Source organism: Homo sapiens, chromosome 11 (genome assembly GCF_000001405.40).
Source record: "Homo sapiens chromosome 11, GRCh38.p14 Primary Assembly".
Classification (NCBI taxonomy): Eukaryota; Metazoa; Chordata; class Mammalia; order Primates; family Hominidae; genus Homo; species Homo sapiens.
In genome coordinates this window covers 100755336-100775371 of record NC_000011.10, presented here as the reverse complement: position 1 = coordinate 100775371, position 20036 = coordinate 100755336, and the positions used below count along the sequence as shown (strand labels likewise).

Genomic DNA, 20036 nt, shown 5'->3' with positions numbered 1-20036 from the left:
CTATAAATATATATGAGAGGAAGCTTGAATCTATCTTATACCGGTTTATAGTCACTCTTCTCCCCTCCATCACCAATTTCTGAGCCCCGCGTGTCTAGCACTGTACTCCTAACTCAATGTCTTCCTTACTCAGTTCAAAACACCAAAGCCAAATAAAAAGTGGGCAGTTAGTGCAGCTGTGGGAAGTTATGTGGATGGACTCAATAGGCCACTTCCCACTCACCCAGCACTGCAGTGAGCAGATGAAAGGGAACAGGCCAAAGCTCACCTGCAGCTCATTTATCCTTAGAGAAGGGAGGGCAATGGCCTCTTGATGCTCTTCAATGAAAAGGGAGGTGCTAAAAAAAAAAAGTGCAGGACACTGCCCTGCTTGGAACTTCAGTCCTGACCTGCTCTCTGAGCCACAGGAATTCCCCACTGGGTCTCGAACAACGAATCCCATTTTGCCTCCTTCCAAGCCAGCAGTGTGTCACTGGCGCAAAACAAAACAAAACAAAAAACCCAGCAAGCACAGGCCAAAAGGGTGGAGGCAGAGGGAACCAGTGAAGCGTTGGGACAGATGTACAGGCCAGACATGGGCCTACACATCAAACACCCTCCCAGAACAACTTTCATAATTAGGCAATTATACTGATAGAATAACACCACCTTCTCTTCCTTACTTTGCCCAAAACCTTTTTTTATCCTCTTCCACTGTAAGCGCAATGAAAGCAGACATCTTTATTCATCTTCCTCTTCCCTTCCTACCCATTCCCACCACCAACTTACACACAGAAAGCCTGCCGATGTCTTACTTTTCAAGTCATTTTGCACTGACATGACCCACATACAAAAGATGAGCTTCTTTGTAAGTCACAGTATTTTGTGGCTATGTCATCAGTAGGTCTCAAGCCTACTCCAGCTGAGAGTGTTGTGGGGCTATTGCTCGCTGCTCAGAGTCACAGCTGTCCCTACCTCATTCCTCTTTCATTAAATCAGAGCAATAAAGAAGTCGTTGGAACTCAGGCTTCAACAAGGTAAAGACAGTGAAAACGCTGTACCGTCCCACGTAGAACTGAAGCCAATGAAGGTGGACAAGCGTGATCCTTATGCTCCACCCACTCCAGACACACACGTTAGTCCCAGGGATACATTTTCCAGTTTATTGTCCTTTGTAGAACAGCTTGGTGTAATCTCATAATCTTCCAGGTCAGCAATGATTCTTCAGAGCCTCCTCCTACTACTTCTTTATTATCTACATAATTTATTTTTAACTGTTTAGAGTATATGTGGGAGCTCAGGTAAAGGGTAAAAAGTGTTGAATAGGATATTGAAACATATCTATATTTTTACAGGAGTTGTTCCAGAAATATTTTATACTTGTAAGTCATTTTGCTCTAAGTTTTCCTAATAGCATTGCTATTTAAATCAGATTCCGAGTGCAAAGGGTTTAAATAAGTCTCCTGATTTAAAATTAGCAAGCAACATTACATCTGCTTGTGTAGATTCTTCATCTCCTGATCTCCAACCTGAGATTTAACTTCACAAAGCCCACATAGCATTAAAATTTAATGTAATAATCATTGCTTGTAAGCCTTCACCTACTGATCAATTCACACCTCTCGAATCTAATCTGCAACAGCTGCACAACAATGTTCAATTAGCCAAAGTGGAAAGAGTCAAACAAACCACTGTTGAGATATCAAGTTCACTACAACTTGGGGAAATTACCTAACATCTGCCTAGAAGGCTGCGTAGCATAGTGATTAAAAACCCTACGTCTGCAGTTACTACATGTATGTGTGACTTCAAGATGTCTTTTAAGTAAGAAGCTTAATGGAAATGGAAACATACAGAAAGATGTTTTCTGTACTCTTAACAATAACAGGTAAAGGGTCAACCAGAAGTAACCTGAACATACTATAGGGACTATTTCATAAATTCATGTATATGAACCTGATGAAATAAACTCATGAAGCCATTAAAATTATATCATCTGTGGAAACCCAGGAGTATTTGCTATAATCCTCTTTCCAAAGAAAAAAATACCAAATTATATATATCATTGTATTAGAAAAATATGTACATAAGTGAAAAATATTAAAGTTTATAAGGAAAATTATGTCATTTAGTGAACAATTTATCTGAGGGTCTACTATTAGGATCTGGGTCAAGCGCTAAGGCTAAAAGGGTTGAAAAAGAAAAAAATCTGGCTTCTGCCTTCATGGAATTTATAGCTTAATATAACTAAGTGAAGGCTGGGCATGGTGATTCACACCTGTAATCCCAGCACTTTGGGAGGCTGAGGCAGGTGGATCACCTGAGGTCAGGAGTTTGAGACCAACTTGGCCAACATGGGGAAACCCCATCTCTACTAAAAATACAAAAATTAGCTGGGCATGGTGGCATACGCCTATAATCCCAGTTACTCAGGAGGCTGAGGCATGAGAATCACTCAAACCCAGGAGGCGGAGGTTGCAGTGAGCCGAGATCATGCCACTGCACTCCAGCCTAGGTGACAGAGCAAGACTCTGTCTCAAAATAAATAAACAACTAAGTGAAAATAACTGTTACGTAAATATGTGGGTATAGCTTTTCTAAGTAATAATGCTAATATATTTGTATTTTAGTAATATAATCTAGGCTTTTACCTGGCTAAGTGTATACTACAAAGCCTATGTTGAGGACCAGACGTTTATATCACCAATGTCAAGAAATGACAAGCAAAATGACCACTATTGTTCCAAATGTTGGCAGTGCATGATCCCTAATGCTGCCCTTCCCCAGCTCTGCTGTGAGGAGGAAGAAGTCATGCATGTGGGAGGGCTCTCCCTTATTCCTGGAGGCACTTTAACTATACCTCAGGCAAGTGACAGGCATGGCTGGACCATCTTTGATCACAAAACTGAGGGCCAAAGAAGACCAGCCACTACACCCTCCCCTCAAATTAACTAACACTTCTAAAAAGGCAAGCAAAGAGAGTGACCACTTGGCATATATCTGCTCAGAAAGACTGCGAATATGATCACAATGATGTATGCATCATGTAAATTCCACATGCAGAGAAAGCTTGTATAAGGACTCTGTACCCTGCCCAGAGATTTCTCCAAAAGGAGCTCTTGTGAATGCAGGCAAGCTAAAGCCACACAATGAAGCTGAAATTCATTCAGCTTAGCTTCTCCTGAGAGCCTTCTTTTTGTGGGGGTAACATTGCCCTTTTGTTTCACAGCGAGGTCTGTGCTAAGACTTGCTACTTAGGGAGTCAAAGCTAATAAAACATACCGTCTAGAAATACAGACATAACTGGTAGAACTATACAAGAAAAAGAAAGGGCAGAGGAAGAAGAGGAATGTGATTGTGGAGAGGTATGAAGGGGATTACAAATCCCTGCTTCTCAGAGCGTGGTCCATGGACTAGCAGTGTGGACATTACTTTCAAATCTATTAGAAATGTGAATCTTACACGCAACCCAAGACCTGCAATTAAGATTTCCAGCCGGGCGCAGTGGCTCACGTCTGTAATCCTAGCACTTTGGGAGGCCAAGGCGGGTGGATCACAAGGTCAGGAGTTCAAGACCACCTGGCCAACATAGTGAAACCCCGTCTCTACTAAAAGTACAAAAAAAAATTAGCCAGGCATGGTGGCGGGTGCCTGTAGTCCCATCTACTTGGGAGGCTGAGGCAGGAGAATTGCTTGAACATGGGAAGCGGAGGGTGCAGTGAGCCGAGATCGTGCCACTGCACTCCAGCCTGGGCGACAGAGCAAGACTCTGTCTCAAAAAAAAAAAAATTCCAGATGTTTCCTACAGACATTAAAGTTGGGCAATCACTGGTCACTGTTCTTAAGTGTTTGTAGTATTGTATTTTTACACCCAGAAGTAGGGTACACTTAGTAATATCCTCTAAAATATACATAAATATTTTATATACTCTTTTCATTATATGACATATCTCTAATCCAGCCTACAAAGGGACCACACATCTATAAGCTGGAAAATGTAGAGGTCTTTAAAAGGTGGGGGTGGAGGGAGTTATAAGAATCAGACCTTCAAACAATAAAAAGTCAGATATAGATAAAACTTCAGAGTTCATATAACACGACCTCTTCATTTTATGGGAGATGAATCCTTCTGTTTCAGAAAGGAGCATGGTTTCCCCAGGGACACATTGCCAAATTACTGAGGCAACGTCAGATTAGGGTTCAAGTCTCCTGATCCGCAGTAATGTTCTGCATCTGCAACAACACTGGTTTAGGGAATCATAGCTGATTTGTTTTCTTTAAAAACAAATATTCACATTAAAAAAGAAACCAGTATTAAGAAAAAAAAGGAAGATAATTTTTTAAACCAGTGCCTGGTATATTTAATAGTAGATACCTAATATATATTTGTTTGAACGAATAATTCAAAGCTCGGCTGACCTGAGTTATAGAATGATTAAGTCATTTCCTTATGGAAACAACAAACAAACAAACACAGAGCTTCGATTTAAAAACAATTTATAATATTTTCTTTAGGCCAAGCGCAGTGGCTCACGCCAGTAATCCCAACACTTTGGGAGGTCGAGGCGGGTGGATCACCTGAGGTCAAGAGTTCGAGACCAGGCTGACCAAAATGGTGAAATCCTGTGTCTACTAAAAATACAAAAAATTAGCTGGGCATGGTGGCAGATGCCTGTAATCCCAGCTACTCAGGAGGCTGAGACAGGAGAACCACTTGAACCCGGGAGGCAGAGGTTGCAGTGAGTCAAGATTACGCCACTGCACTCCAGCCTGGGTGACAGAGAGAGACTCTGTCTCCAAAAAGAAAAAATTTCTTCCATAGAAACCTAAAATCACTCTTATAGTATTGTCAAAGTCAGAAAATATTTTACATGTTTATTATTTAGGTGTGTGTCTATTTGATTTCAGTAAAATAAATATTAGTAATAGAACTTTCTAAAACAGTAGTACTTACCAATACTAATTTCATCATCTGTTTCAGCATCACCAATACATTCAAACTGGAAATCTTGCAATGACTGGGAAAATTTCTGCACTGCCATAGACAGATCTGCAAGTAAAAGTTAAGCAAAAAATCCATAAGGTGAGGTTCCACTGAATCCGAATGAGTTTCCAAATGTAAAATTATATAACTTTGATTTTGTATTATATGAACCAGAATCCTTTAATACCAGTTTGACTAATTTAACCAGAATCCTTTAAAATACCAGTTTGACTAATTTAACCAAAATTTAAAGACACTATAAATACTGAAAATGGATCTGGTCTGATCTACACAGTGGAGATTTACTGCTTTAAGAGAGTTTTGGTGGCAGATGTGTATTATCTGGAAGTCAGTTTACCAAAGCCTTTATCAAGGAACTACCACTCACTCACCATAAATGGAGCATTTTTATTTTATTTTATTTCAAGTTCCAGGATACACAGCCAGGATGTGCAGTTTTGTTACATAGGTAAACGTGTGTTATAGTGGTTTGCTGCACCTATCAACCCATCACCTAGGTATTAACCTCAGCATGCATTGAGCTATTTTTCCCGATGCTCTCCATCCCCCTACACCTCCCCCTGGCCAAACAGGCCCCAGTGTATGTTGTTCCCCTCCCTGTGGCCATATGTTCTCATTGTTCAGCTACTGGAGCATTTTTTCTTAAAAAAAAAAAAAAAAAAAAAAAAAAAAAAAGAAGGAATGCTACTGAGCTTGCTGGTGACGGGAAAAAAGCCAACAGTTGATTAGAAAAAGTCACCAATAATATTCTGCATAAACTGTGGAAAAAGTAGAAAATGTGTTTTTACCAATAAACTACTGATTTTCTTCAAGAAGGTAAAAGATGACCTGAAAGGCTGTTTACAAATAACTTTGAGACTCAAGTTAAACATACTCTGCAATCCTGACTTCAGTCTGAACAAGGCCCAGAGTCTGACTAAACCCAGAAAAAGAATTCTTTATTTATGGGCTGAAAAAGAAAAGCCCAGAATAATAAGAAGTAAATCCCTGGGAGTCAACAGCCCAGGATGCAACCTAACCGAGTGATTAAGAATGCAGACTCTGGAGCCAGGCTGCCTGGGTGGAAATCCAAGCCCCACCACTTACTTGCTATGTGACCTTGGACAAATTATTTAACTCCTCTGGGCCTTTGTTTCCTCACACAGTCAAGCACCACATAAAAACATACACCACAGTAGTTACATTAGACTATACTGTAGCTGCCCTACACAGGTGCATCTTTTTAAAAATCTTTTATACTGTATCTTTACTGTACCTCTTCTATGTGTGTATATATTTAGATATACATACTTACCACTGTGTTACAACTGCCTACAGTACTCAGTACAGTAACATGCTGTAAAGGTTTGTAGCCTAGGTGGGATAGCCTACTTGACCATACAGACAAGGTGTGTAGTAGGCTATACCATCTAGGCTTGTGTAAGTATACTCTATTATGTTTGTACAATGACAAAACAGCCTAAGGACGTTTTTCTCAAAATGTGTTCTTGTTGTTAAACAATGCATAATTATATATAAAATGGGAAGATGGTATAACCACCTTATAGAATTGTTTTGAGGATTATATGAGTTAATATTTGCAAAGGGTTTAGAACTGTGCCTGGCACTTAATAAACCCTATTTAAGTCTAATAAATAAAAGTAAATCAACTCCACAGTGCAGCATCAGGAAAATTTTAAAGATCCCATCTCTCAGAGCTACTCTGATCATTTATGTCAACCCAGCCACAGATGTCTACATCAATAAGAAAATAGAATTTTCTGGAATTCACTCTACACTTCATTTAACAGTCTCTTGCATGGGTTCAAGTCTAATAGCTGAGTCCTTACATTTAATCAAGCAATAGGAACTGATAAATTCTCCCTCCTTGGCCAAATTTTAGTCAGGCTCCTTTAAGCCCTCTTCTTGACTAGGCCTCCACCTTGTCCCTGACCCTTGCTGGGCCTGCAGAGCCTAGTTTTAGCAAGGATTCTACTAAGTCAGTCTAGAAAGAATCCCCTACCCTCAATATCTGTTCAAATTCCTCATCCCCCACCTTTCTTCAGCAAGAATCCTACTACCGTCGATGTCTCCTTAGTCATTTTCCATCCACCCAATGCCCCACATCCTGCTCCTTGGCAATAAATTCCCACTTGTTATTGTTGTATTTAGAGTTGAGCCAGATCTCTCTCATCTACTGACATAGTCTTTACACCTGTTGTGATAGTCCTGAATAAAGTCTTCCTTACCTTTTTTACAAATGTCAAAATATTTTTTATTTAACAGAATAATTGTGGTCCTATGCCTAGACATAACGCCAGGACTTACTGTGGCAGCCCCGACATTCATGAAACCCCAAGTCCAAGTACCTATCAACGTGGGCACTCAAGATTGAATAGGTCTCCAAACACGAAGGTCACATTTTGTACCACTGTCAGCCAAGGACCTACCAACACACTCACCAAGGACAATTCTGTAGACCACTGACTTCAAATTTCAGACAGGCTTTTCTTTTTAAACATATATTAGACAGTTTCGTTTTTAATTCTGGGTGCTCTCCCTGAGACTTAGGAAAACCATTCCATTGAACACCCCTTTATTTGTATATGTAGTGTAAAATAAAGGCCTTATGTTCTGCTGGATTTGAAGCCCTAAATGTAATTCCTACAGCAGAGTTGAGACTGGGGATACAAGGGCAGATCAAGATGCTTGGGAACCCTTCGATGGATATCCTTCTTTCTCTCCCCTCCTCGCCACCACCAAGCGTTCTTCTGAACTTCCCTCAAACCTAGATGAGCCTATTTGGAAGCTCTGTCCTAGGGAACTCATGACACAACCTCCCATTTCTTCCCAGACCGTTCTTGACTTCCTATGGCCTCGTACCCTGACTGAAAAAGGTAATCTGTTTTGTCCCTGCACAGAGATCACTGTGAATGCATGACAGTAATCCCCATCCCCAAACAAGAACACAGTGGCCCACTTATAAGCTACTCTGTCAAGTTACTGAGTATGAGTGCTGAAGGCAGATTAACTGGGTTAGAATTCTGCTTCTACCAATAATTAAGTGTCATGACTGTGGGTAAGTTTCATAGCCTCTCTGTACCTCAGTATCCCGTCTGTCAAGTGGAACCACTTCTCAGGGTTATAGTAAGGAGAAAATGAGTTAATATAGATAAAGAACTTAGAACAGCATCAAACACATAGAAAGCACTCAGAACATGTTGACGATGTCCATGTTCAATATCTAAGAAAGGAAAAAGAAAAATTTCAGTTTCAGTTATGAAGATGGCAACTCTTGGAGCTTACATAACCTTGGAAAGTGCTCAGGACAATCTGTTGATAGCAGTTTCAACTTTTCTTGCTACACTGCAAAGCCATCAAGCCGTGACAGTATTATTGTTCAGCATTTCTGGGTAAGAGATGGGTGTCTATTTCAACTCTTGATGGAATTAAGAATGCATGAATGATCCTTTCACAGTCCTTCTGGAAGCATAATGAGAGACAGGATTATACAAGAAAATATGGCTCTCAACTAGTTCAAATGATAATTCCAAGAATGAAGGGGATGTCTGAAATATGACACATTTTCAACTTCAAGTGTGTTCGGGTTCTTGATCTTCTTCCTATTTATTCTCATTTTCCTAATGCCGAAGTAATGATGAGGTCAAAAAAACCATCAAGGTAAAGAAGTTATGATATTTTCTGGCAGTAATAATGATCAACCTCTAAAATGAGGAATCCAGCTCATGCTTTTAATCTTGGCTCCATCTCCTACTGACTGTGCAATTCTGAATTAGAAAGCCCAATATCTTCCATTAATTTAAAATCACATGAAACAATATTTTTCTAATTGTCTAACTAAAGTTTCTAAACCATGACCCAGCACAAAAAACAGAAGAGCTGTTTCTAAAACCTTTTAAATAAAGTTCATCCATATCATAATAGAAAGGCCTTGATTTTAAAACCTAATAAATTTTAAAATTTGTTGTTGAGTGTTAAAATATCATACTAAAGAGTCAACTTTTTCTCTTAAATATAAAATGAAAGATCCCATGCCATCTAAGAATCTAGTTTAGACAGGGGTGTCTCTCCCTATTACTACCCAATATTCACTTATTGGTGAGCAAGTTGTGCAAGGTAAAGATACTTCACATGCCCCCCACACCACACACACACACACACACACCCCACATCCTTCCCATTTGCCTAACTTGAAAGTTAAGCATCAAGTGTCTTCACATGCATTCACATCATAACTCAAAAGAAGTTACACTGGGCTTTAATTAGTCAACAGTGTTTTCATATGGAAGAGTTAACCTCCAGCTTCCATGATTAGATGATGCTAATGAAACACTAAAACTTCATTTCATTAGAGGAATACAAAATACCTATAATTAAATAAATATTTACTTAAAACTTTTCTTGCACATAGACTTAAGAACTGAGGTCTCCCTTTTATTTTGGAAGTGTTAATGGAATTGCTTTTACAATGTTAGTTATGGAAGTGGGCTATATATATTTATGTCAGAACAAGTACAACCAGTCAGTCCATTAGTTTAAGTTAGTTCTTCCTAAAATCCAGCTTCTCTAGGATTGGATCTAAGGAAGACTCACAGGAGCAATCTGTCTCGATATATGTGTTGCAGAATTATCATCTTTTCACAACCATGCAGAAGGCAGACATAATAAAGCAATGAGAATACAAAGGTTAAAATAGAATGTATCCTTCCCTCCTGAAGGGCACAGTCCAGTAGGGGTGTGAGGCATGTAATTAATCATAACAGAGGGCAATCGATAAATTCTCTGACAGAGATTAATAACAACAATACCTACTACCTGATACTTCTGTAAGCATTTAATATAAATTAACCCATTAGTCCTCACAATAGCCGCAAGAACTAGATGCCATCACACCCATTTTACAGATTAAGAAACTGAGGCACAGATAAGTTAAGTGACTTCCCCAAGGTCACACAAGCTAGGAAAAGCAGAACCAAAATTCCAACCCAGGGCGCCAGCTCCAGAATCCCCAGTTCACCACATTGCCACACTGCTTTGCCCATAGACCTTAAATAAAGGTGGCAAATAAAAAGGCACATCAGTTTGGATTGAGTGTGTAGGGGTAGAGTTGTTAGAAGACTCCCTAAGAACAGGGACTTGAAAGATGTAACAATGCATCAGCAAGGCTAAAACAATATGTCTAGAATCTTCCAAAGGGTAGCTTCCACGTACATACTCAACCATATCTATAAAAACTCCTACCAAGCTAAGGTACTGGTTATTGTCTGAAACAAGCCTGCTATTCTTTTGTATCTATGTTTTTATTGTTACTCTACCTACTTAGAACATACTTTTCTCTCATTCTCCGTTGCCAAAAAAAAGGCCTTTTTTCAAGATTTCTCTCAAGTCCTCCTCAAGTCCTCATTTTTTCCAAAAAGCTCTTTCTGACCCCTTTCAACATGACACTATCTCTGCCTTTAACTGCCCATTATGTTGGGATTCTCTGGTGATGCTTTCACCTTTATCTCACTGATTTGTAAACCTAACCTACCCACTTTATATTAAGTAGTATATTAACGGTAGGAAACTTTACCATCTATGAACACTAACCAAGTATCCAAGACCCTACCTTGTAAACAACAGCTCTTTTGTTGAAACCATCAATTTCTGCAAATTGGGTAAATACTCCAAGCCCCTGGATGTCTTTTACCCTCCCTTCTTTCCTTTCACATTCTTACAAGCCCCTAATGTGGCTTTTACAGTCACTTGTAAAACATAAGTTATTCACTTTCAGAAATAATGATGATGACAACAATGTTTTACTACTTACAAGCAGCTTTAATGTACACTTTCAATAACAACAGCAATAGTCTTGGCAAGATGTCTTACTTTTTCAAAGTTCTTACATACTTAAATCTTACACAAAGCTATGAGGGCCAGTGCTCTGAAAAGTTAAGTAATAACTTGCCTGGAGTCTAAGAGCTGGACTCCAACTGGAATAGGTTTTCTGCTTCCCAAACTGGATGCTCTTTCATGGCATATCATAGTTAATCCCCAAAGAATGATGGGCATTAAAACTGGGAGGGGCTAGGCATATTGGCTCATGCCTGTAATCTCAACGCTTTGGGAGGCTGAGGCAGGAGGATCACTTGGAGCCAAGAGTTGAAATTGAACCTGGGCAACATAGCAAGGCCTTAACTTTACAAAAAATGATTTAAAATCAGCTGGGTGCAGTGGCTTGTGCCAGTGGTCTTAGCTACTCAGGAGGCTAAGGTGGGAAGATCACTGAGCAAAGGAGTTCAAGGTTGCAGTGTGCTGTGATCATACCATTATACTGTAGCCTGGGTAACAGAGTGAGACTTGTCTCAAAAAAAAAAAAAAAAGAAGAAGAAGAAGAAGAAGAGGGGGAGGAGGAGGAGAAGGAAGAGGAAGAAGAACTGGGAAGGCTATGAGCCTTACAACATTTAACGAATCCTTTACCTGCTATATAAATTTTAAAATAGCAAGACTTCATGTGTTGGACTCTATGAGAGCTAGCTAGCTATGCTGAACATGGAATAATCTACCAGCAAATGCACATAAAATGGTCATTATAAAACACCATGTTAAAAGACAAAGGAGCCGGGCACGGTGGCTCACGCCTGTAATCCCAGCACTTTGGGAGGCTGAGGCAGGTGGATCACCTGAAATCAGAAGTTCGAGACCAGCCTGGCCAACATGGGGAAACCCCATCTCTACTGAAAATACAAAAATTAGCTGGGTGCAGTAGTGCATGCACCTGTAATCCCAGCTACTTGGGAGGCTGAGGCAGGAGAATTGCTTGAACCCGGGGGGCGGAGGTTGCAGCCAGTCAAGATCATGCCACTGCACTCCAGCCTAGGAGACACAGCAAGACTCTGTCTCAAATAAATAAATTTTTAAAAAGACAAAGGAAATGTATGCTCATTCCTCTACTTTCTAATGCCACACTGAATAACATCTTAGGTTTTAGGCTTCTTGAAGGTAGGTATATATTCATCTGTTTTTGCCCTTAGTGCCTAATAGAAAGCAGATACCTGAAAAAGAGTGAAAGAAAGAAATGTAAACTAACTGGCAAAACATTCTTAACATTAAGAATTCACTATAAACAGCTGGGCATAGTGGCTCACGTCCATAATCCCAGCACTTTGGGAGGCCGAGGTGGTTGGATCACCTGAGGTCGGAAATTCAAGACCAGCCTGACCAACATGGTGAAACCTCATCTCTACTAAAAATACAAAAAAATTAGCTGGGCATGGTAGCGCATGCCTGTATCCCAGATACTCGGGAGGCTGAGGCATGAGAATTGCTTGAACCTGGGAGGAGGAGGTTGTGGTGAGCCGAGATCATGCCATTGCACTCTAGCCTGGGCAACAACAGCAAAACTCCATCTCAAAAAAAAAAAAAAAAAAAAAAAAAATCACTATAAACTACTGAAAAGCTCGTGGTACTAAAAATGCACACAAATATCACAGAAAGCCTTAATAAAAAACACATACATTACACAGCAGAGTAATGTACTGAGTAATGTACGTAGCAGAATATGTCAAGGAAACATCAACTACGCCTTGCTTTTTTAATAACTACAGTTACGTTTTTAGTGTGCTCTCAGGGAACTATGAGGGCCAGATTGTTAAATGGAGAAAAGTCAGAAGAGAAGAATACTGGGTGTGGCAAAGTATAAGAAAAACACAATGAAAATTTGCCAGTAAAAAACATTCCTAACATTTACTTGAACAAAGTTTTAAAACACAATCTTTGCTATTTTCTGTTTTATATACATGCCTAAAAAATAGCAGTCATCTGATATTAAAAATCGGTCTTCATTAAGAGGGCCCAGAACAAAGTTTGGCATGTAGTAGTCACTCAATAAACGAGAGTTGAGCTGAAGGAAGTTTGAGTAACTAACAGAAATGGAAATCAAGTAATTCTCTTTCCTTGAAGGCCTTGAGAAACACTGCCATGAAGCAAGGGGCATGTCCACGGGAGATCACTGAAGACAGAATTACCAGAGAACAGTGGAGCCCTGATGCTGTTCTTCATTCCCCTGAAAATGCAAAAAAAAGCACAGGCTACCCTGCGTCACTACAGTAATGTGCTGTATTCCAAGCTAGAACAACATGGTTGTTTGGGCACTTTAAAGTTGGTAAATCAAGTTAGCCTAGCTTTAGGCAGTCTCATTCATTTTTACAGCAGAAGTATATTCAGAGTCTGCATCCCGCTTTGCAGTGGATACATCCACCCTTCTGGCAGGCATATTAAGTTAAGCATCTGTTTTCGATGTCTTATGTGATGAAGGTGCTCAGATCCGGAAAGAAGTCCTTTGATTAGAAACAATCATTCTTTTATGTCACAGACTACGTCTGCACAAGCGTCAGAGAGACATGGATGCCAATCCAGGGATCACCACTTACTGCCATGTGTTTCAGAGCAAGTACTTAGCCCCTCTGAATCGTAAGCTCCTCATGTGCAAAAGGAAGATATTAATCCTCTGCAAGACTGTCATGAATATTACATAAAACTGGCTTAGCACAGTGTCTGGTATAGAACAGAAACTTGAAATACTGATTCTCAACAAATGTTAACTATTAAACCATTATTTATTATGATGGCAAATACAGAATATGAAATATTTTCATTGTAAGCATAACATATTTAATCTGGGTATTAAATTACTATCTTCAAGAGAGCTTCAGTGAAAATAAATAGTGGCACTGGCCTCTAATGAAGACCAAACAGTTTGTAATCCCATAAATGATATGTGTCTGGCAAGCAGTTCCAGAAGATTTCAGCCTAAAAATAACAAATAGGAACCAACACTTGGCCAGATTTTATCCGGATTCTATAAACCTACAAATTCCATAAAAATTAAAAATGAAAAACCACAAAGACTTCACTTTGCTACAACCCAAGTTAAAAACAGAAAGTTCAAAGGATAAAATGAACCACCCATCTTCCTACCCTGGGGAAAAAACTTGAAAAGAGTGGGTAAAGAACAGTGGCACAATGTCGTTCTCTAGAGTCTCCTTCTGCCTCAACAACAATTCCTCTGCCACCTCTCTTGAGATTTCTCTTCCTCAGACTCTTGACTTCAGAGGACTTTCTCTTTAGCCACCATGTTTTACCTCAATACTGTTTCTCTTTGTAAAGTACTGTCTGTGTTATCTCTACGCAAACCACTCCTAAGTGGTCATTTAAGTTTAGATGCTGGCAGCCCAAGCAACATTTTCTGAAGTATCTCCTTTACCTTTTTTTTTTCTTTAACTACAAATACTAAGTTACCCAATATAGAGGAGTTTCATTTTCCTAAGCTTCCCAGTAACTCAGGGGTGGCCTGGCCTGCTTTGCCTGGGCTTCCTGGTCTGCCTACCCACCCATACCACTGCCCCAGTACAACCACTCACTTCCCACTGTTTGCCAAGCATTTACAACTTACTCTCTTATCAACAGTAAGGGAAAGCCTCAGTATGTTAGCCTCAGTTACAGCCCATTTCTCCTTTTATTACCTAACATATCCATCCACCCAAGATAATGACTTTGGAAGGACATTTGGTGTTACCTTATCTTTCATGTCACATATCATCCTATTGCCAGCTCTTACAACTTCCTTTCTCCATCCTGTCCTTCTTGGTGTCATATACATTTGTGGTTAGATCATTACTAGTTTAATTTCCTTTTTTTTTTCTTTTTGAGACAGAGTCTTGCTCTGTCACCTGGGCTGGGGTGCAGTGGCGCAATCTCGGCTCACTGCAACCTCCGCCTCCTGGGTTCACACGATTCTCTTGCCTCAGTCTCCCAAGTAGCTGGGATTACAGGAGCCCGCCACCACACCCGGCTAATTTTTTTGTATTTTTAGTAGAGATGGGGTTTCACCATGTTGGCTAGGCTAGTCTCAAACTCCTGACCTCAAGTGATCCTCCCACCTTGGCCTCCCAAAGTGCTGGGATTACAAGTGTAAGCCACTGCACCTAGCCTTTAATTTCATTTTAAAGGACATACTAAGCTATTACCTTCTAGGCTAGTGAAAGATGTCATCTTTCCTCTATGTTTTTTGACTAATCCTTTCTCTCAAACTATTCTTTGCATACTCAAAATGCCAGCCAAACAAACCGATCTAAACTTAACTCTCTCAACATCCACAAAGTCATTGTGCACGTCAGAAACAGCCCTTTGTCTCTGCTGTGACCTTCAAACGTCTTCAAATAGAGAGGTATGCACAGCTGCAGGACTGCAAATCTGCATCATACCATCCAGGGGCTACAATAACATTAAGATACCAAGATCTGGTCTGCAAGAGCTTCCTGGCTATACTTAATTAAGGATGGTGCATGTGGTTAATTTCAGTCCTATTAACGTACCTTTAAAACTTGCCAGTTTCTAGATTAAGTAATCCTAAAATTACCCTGGGTAATCCAATCAGTGCAATGTATCTGCTGATTTACAGATACCATATGTTGGGTGCCTTATGGTATGCAGTCAGAGGTTCAGAAAGCTATGGACCCTCTTATTGTGTCTTCCTGGGGCTACAGCTTTTATTTGAAAATTGGGGAGAAGGAAGCCAAGTAATTTTACACAGTTTTGCATTTTTTAAATGCATATATTGAGGTAAAGCCTATTTCATATGAATTAGCTTGTACCTGATATTTCCTCTGAGGCAGCCAGTTTGGGCTATGTCCCCAGACTACCGAGAGGGTACTTTTCCCCTCCTCTCGTATTAGATGTACTTCAGGAGAAATCTTTGAGAAATATTGCATTATTGTACTCTACCTCCTTTTTTGTATGTCTACTGAAATACCCTAGACAATGATCCCTTTTATTATTATACTTCTTTGTGTCTAAATCTTATAACTCTCCCTGAACAGCAAGGTGTGGAGGGCAGAGAACCCCTCCAGCCTTTACTGCACCCAACACAGGACCTTGAAAATAGGAAGCTGTCAATAAACAGAACTGAATGTGGGAATTCAGAGTATTTAGGAGAGGTAAATTAAGGCCTTTTTAAGATTGGCAGAGAGCAATTAGAGATAAGAAGCCAGGTGCCTAGACACAGGCTTGCCCCTAGCTATAAAAGGTGCTATGAGGAAGAGAGGAAAACCAGAGCCCCAGCAAACACACAGACTTAAGATATGGACATCAAATCAAGCCGATGAGATGTGAGGAGCCAGAGAGAATGGCCAGAAGGTTCTTTCATTTAAGATCTGTTAGCAAGCTGCAGGGTGATGGGGGTGAGTGGGGGACACCTGGCTGCTGACAAAAGCAGTCCGGACATTTTTACCTGCTAACCTACAATCTCAACATTGCCTTATAAAACATCCACTATAAAAATGATCCTGGTGGTCTATTCAAGCTTGATGGAGTGAGCATTCAGTTAAAAAACAAACAAACAAACAAAAAAACACTAAAATTTTTCACAAATATAAATCATTAAAGAAAAGGCTGTCATGGGCTTCTATTTCTTTGCATAACCTTCTAACACAAATAGATCTAATTAAAAAAATATTAAGAGTGAGGATATTGGTGTCAGACTCACTACTAGTTAAATTCTGTTTTGCTAGGTGGCCAAGTTAGGTTACTTAAGCTCTGCAAGTTTCAATTTACCTATCTATAAAATGGGAATAATATTAATATACTTATTTCATAAGATCATTGTGCTGAGCAAATGAAATCATGCATGTAGAGTTCATCACAGCACATAGTAAGAGCTTGATAAACTATCATAATTATAATTACTATTAATTTTTAAAGAGGTAAACAATGACTGGAAAGACATGTTACTTATTTGCTCTCAGTTACTAAACCTACATATCAGCCTATTTCTCTGGACCTAAAAAGATAACTCATCATTTTATGATGCAGCCACAGTGCCTGCCAGTCAAGGAAAAAACTACAGTGACAACAAAAATCATCACAGTCAAACTGTCCGTATTCCAAAAGGTAAATTGATCATTTACTTAAGTGCATTTTCATCTCAGCTGTTTAGCATCATGCATCATTAATAACAGTTATGCAATACATATATTGCCTCCAAAGACTAGGTTTATTACTACAACTTCAAAAAAGTATCATCTCAGTAGTTAATAGATATCTGCATTCCAGCATGCCTTAACAAAAACATTCCCGGATCCAATAATAAAATCTGTTTACCCAAGCAAAGAAACAAGTTAACACATTCACACAAACCTCCAAAAATTTTCCCAAGTACAATTTAAATGGAGTGACAAACTTAGAATGTGATTATAGCTTAAGTGGCTATGTTTAAGTTGCTACATTTATTGTTACAGCATATTTGGGTCTTCACTATTATATTTTTATTGATTTTTCTTTGATCAAATGAAAGTGTTTAATATTAGATAATATCATGGCTATACATGAACAGTATGGTTATGTCAAAAAGAATCTTTTCACATAGCAATATGACTAAGGTTCTCTTAAAGATTGGAAATATTTTATAACGGATGGTAACTGAAAGAATACATAAACCACTCTCTTGGATAAGATGTGGATGAATGCTGGCATCATGCCTCATCCTTCCAAAAAGAAACAAAAAAGCACACTGTCAAACAGGGTTGAGCCTGGGCTGCCAGGGAAGTAAAGGCACAAAGATCATTATTCTCCATTTACACAGTGTTTTTTTGTGAGTCAATTTCAAGAAACTCATTATCCTACATGTTTACAGACTTCATTTTTCTGCTATCCTACCCCATTTTGACATACTAAAGCAATTTTTGAAACTATTTTGGCAAAAATGGCATTTTTAAATTGCAGATTTCATTATGTACCCTTAGAGCCACCCCATTTTTAAGGTATCACAATAGAGATGATGATTTTTGGTGAACTATACTATTTTATGAATTTTTCTGTTCTAATTTAACTTCCAAGTGTTCCACTTTTAATAGATTGACTTACTACAGCCATCTCACCACCTTACATGCACATGATGGGATTTTTCAAATCATATTAATATTTATAGCCCTTATCTCATTGGAACCCTACTGAGGAAAGAAGCTGTGTAGGTAATTATCTCCATTTTACAGATGAGGAAACTAAGGCTCAAGGTTAAGTGACTTACCCAAACAACAGAATCAGGACAGGAATCTCAATCTGCCATGTCAAAATCAACCCTCTTTCTATACCACCTTAAATAACTATGGATGTTCCTTTTAAGCCTATAATTCTACCATACTGGATTTAGCTAAGTAGCAAATACAAATTTCATTTTCATATCATTTATAATTTTCATGTCTTATTTACCATTTTCTCACTTTAAAAAGTCTCATTCTTATTGATCTTCCTATATTCTCACCACGTAACTATTTTAACTGCCAATGTATTATATATTTACATGGAATGATTATTATAAAAATCCATAAATGTCTTTAAAGAAGATATGCATCTTATGTTTAAAGTATTATTTTTATTATTACGGGGTGATTCATGATACTGATCAGAAAGCATAAAAATAAATCTCAATCTTTTATTCTAAAAACTAAGCACAAAGTAAAACTCATTCACCTAAAATGCTATGCTGTTTATTTGAGCCATTAACATGTATGCACTTCAATGATCTGTACACAGAGAGCAACTGCCTGCTGTGATTCTGAATAGTGAAGATTTTTATTTAGCAACCAGAACTGAGGAATTCCAACTGTGTCAACTTGTGCAACTACGTCTGGCTGTAGAGCTTTCCAAACTTTGGAAGACATGTTATCTCTAATTATCATCTTACTGCAAATAAAAGAGACTTTCATACAAATGATACACACAATTTATGCCAGGCTTTAATCAGCATGTAATCGGCCTATGATTGGGTCACCATTCAATAAAAAACTTAACAAATGTATATGCCGTTTTCAACTCTCTAAGCATTTTTGGCTTACTTCAAAACTTCTTATCATCGGTTCCACAAATACTACAAATTTTAGGTGCTGTCATTTTTATTTACTACAGTTCATATATTCTAAGATGATAAATTGTATTTAAAAATATATTTATTTTTGAGACAGGGTCTTGCTCTGTTGCCCAGGCTAGAGTGCAGTGGCATGATCATTGCTCACTGCAGCTTCAACTGCCTGGGCTCAAGCTATCCCCCTGCCTCAGCCTACAGAGTAGCTAGGACTAAAGATATATGACACCATGCCCAGCTACTTTTTTTTTTTTTTTTTTTTTTTTTTGTAGAGACAAGGTCTCACTGTATTGACCAGGCTAGTCTCGAGCTCCTGGCCTCAAGCCATCCTCCTGTCTTAGCCTCCCAAAGTGCTGAGATTACAGGCATGACCCACCATGCCTGGCCAAAGACGATATATTGTAAGACCTCTATCCAATTTTAGAAATGCTAAAATATTAAAACTGTGAAACTTAGATTCAGTGAGTCATAGTGTACCTTTATATTTTATATTTCCATCAGTCATATTAAATAATGACATTATATAGAGCATGACATTGTCAATTAAGGAAAAGCATTATCCCTAACCTCAAATAGTTAATAACCTAATGAGACAAACAGCATATACTGCACTGCCTCAACTTCCTTTTCCTATCTTTGAACACCACAAAACCTTAACACCATGAAAAACCTATCTTGTAAATAGATCTCTGTTGTCCCTGTTATGACAGGGGGGAAATAAGAAATAAGTTCTCTCTTAGTTTTTCATTCATGCACATCTAGGGCCTGATACCTTCAACCTGATATCTTCAACTTACTACTATTCCCTTGGGTTTGTTTTTGGCAGATGGTCTAAGCCTAAAACAAGACAATGAGACTCAAAGAAGACAATGAGCTGACAATGGCTACCAGCAGCTGCTTATTTATATAAGTCATCTGAGAACCCTAGAAATGCTCAATCAGTGGAACTGTGTGCAATATTTTGGCAAGGACTCTCCAGATAATGAACAAGATAGTACTAATATCTCTCTGTATTTTCAGGACGAAAACTCATGAGAAGAGATGTACATCTGAGAAATGAAATTGTGTATACTGTTACTGCTTTTTCCATATGCTCATAACTTTTTAAGTATGGAAAATTATCTATAATCTAAGACTCACATTCACATTCAGATG

At 38.8% G+C, this 20036-nt stretch overlaps 1 protein-coding gene across 4 annotated transcripts in view; it reads right to left on the bottom strand.

Moving 5' to 3' along the window:
• The window catches only part of ARHGAP42 (Rho GTPase activating protein 42), a 306654-nt gene that overhangs the window by 218570 nt on the left and 68048 nt on the right, over nt 1–20036 (bottom strand). For all 4 annotated transcript variants that reach the window (NM_001367945.1, NM_152432.4, XM_011542616.3 and 1 more), the window contains exon 2: nt 4934–5029. Coding sequence is in view for 3 of the 4 variants with exons in the window: in NM_152432.4 (NP_689645.2) it covers nt 4934–5029 (96 nt within the window). In the remaining variant the exon portion in view is untranslated. The remainder of the gene's footprint in view (nt 1–4933; nt 5030–20036) is intronic.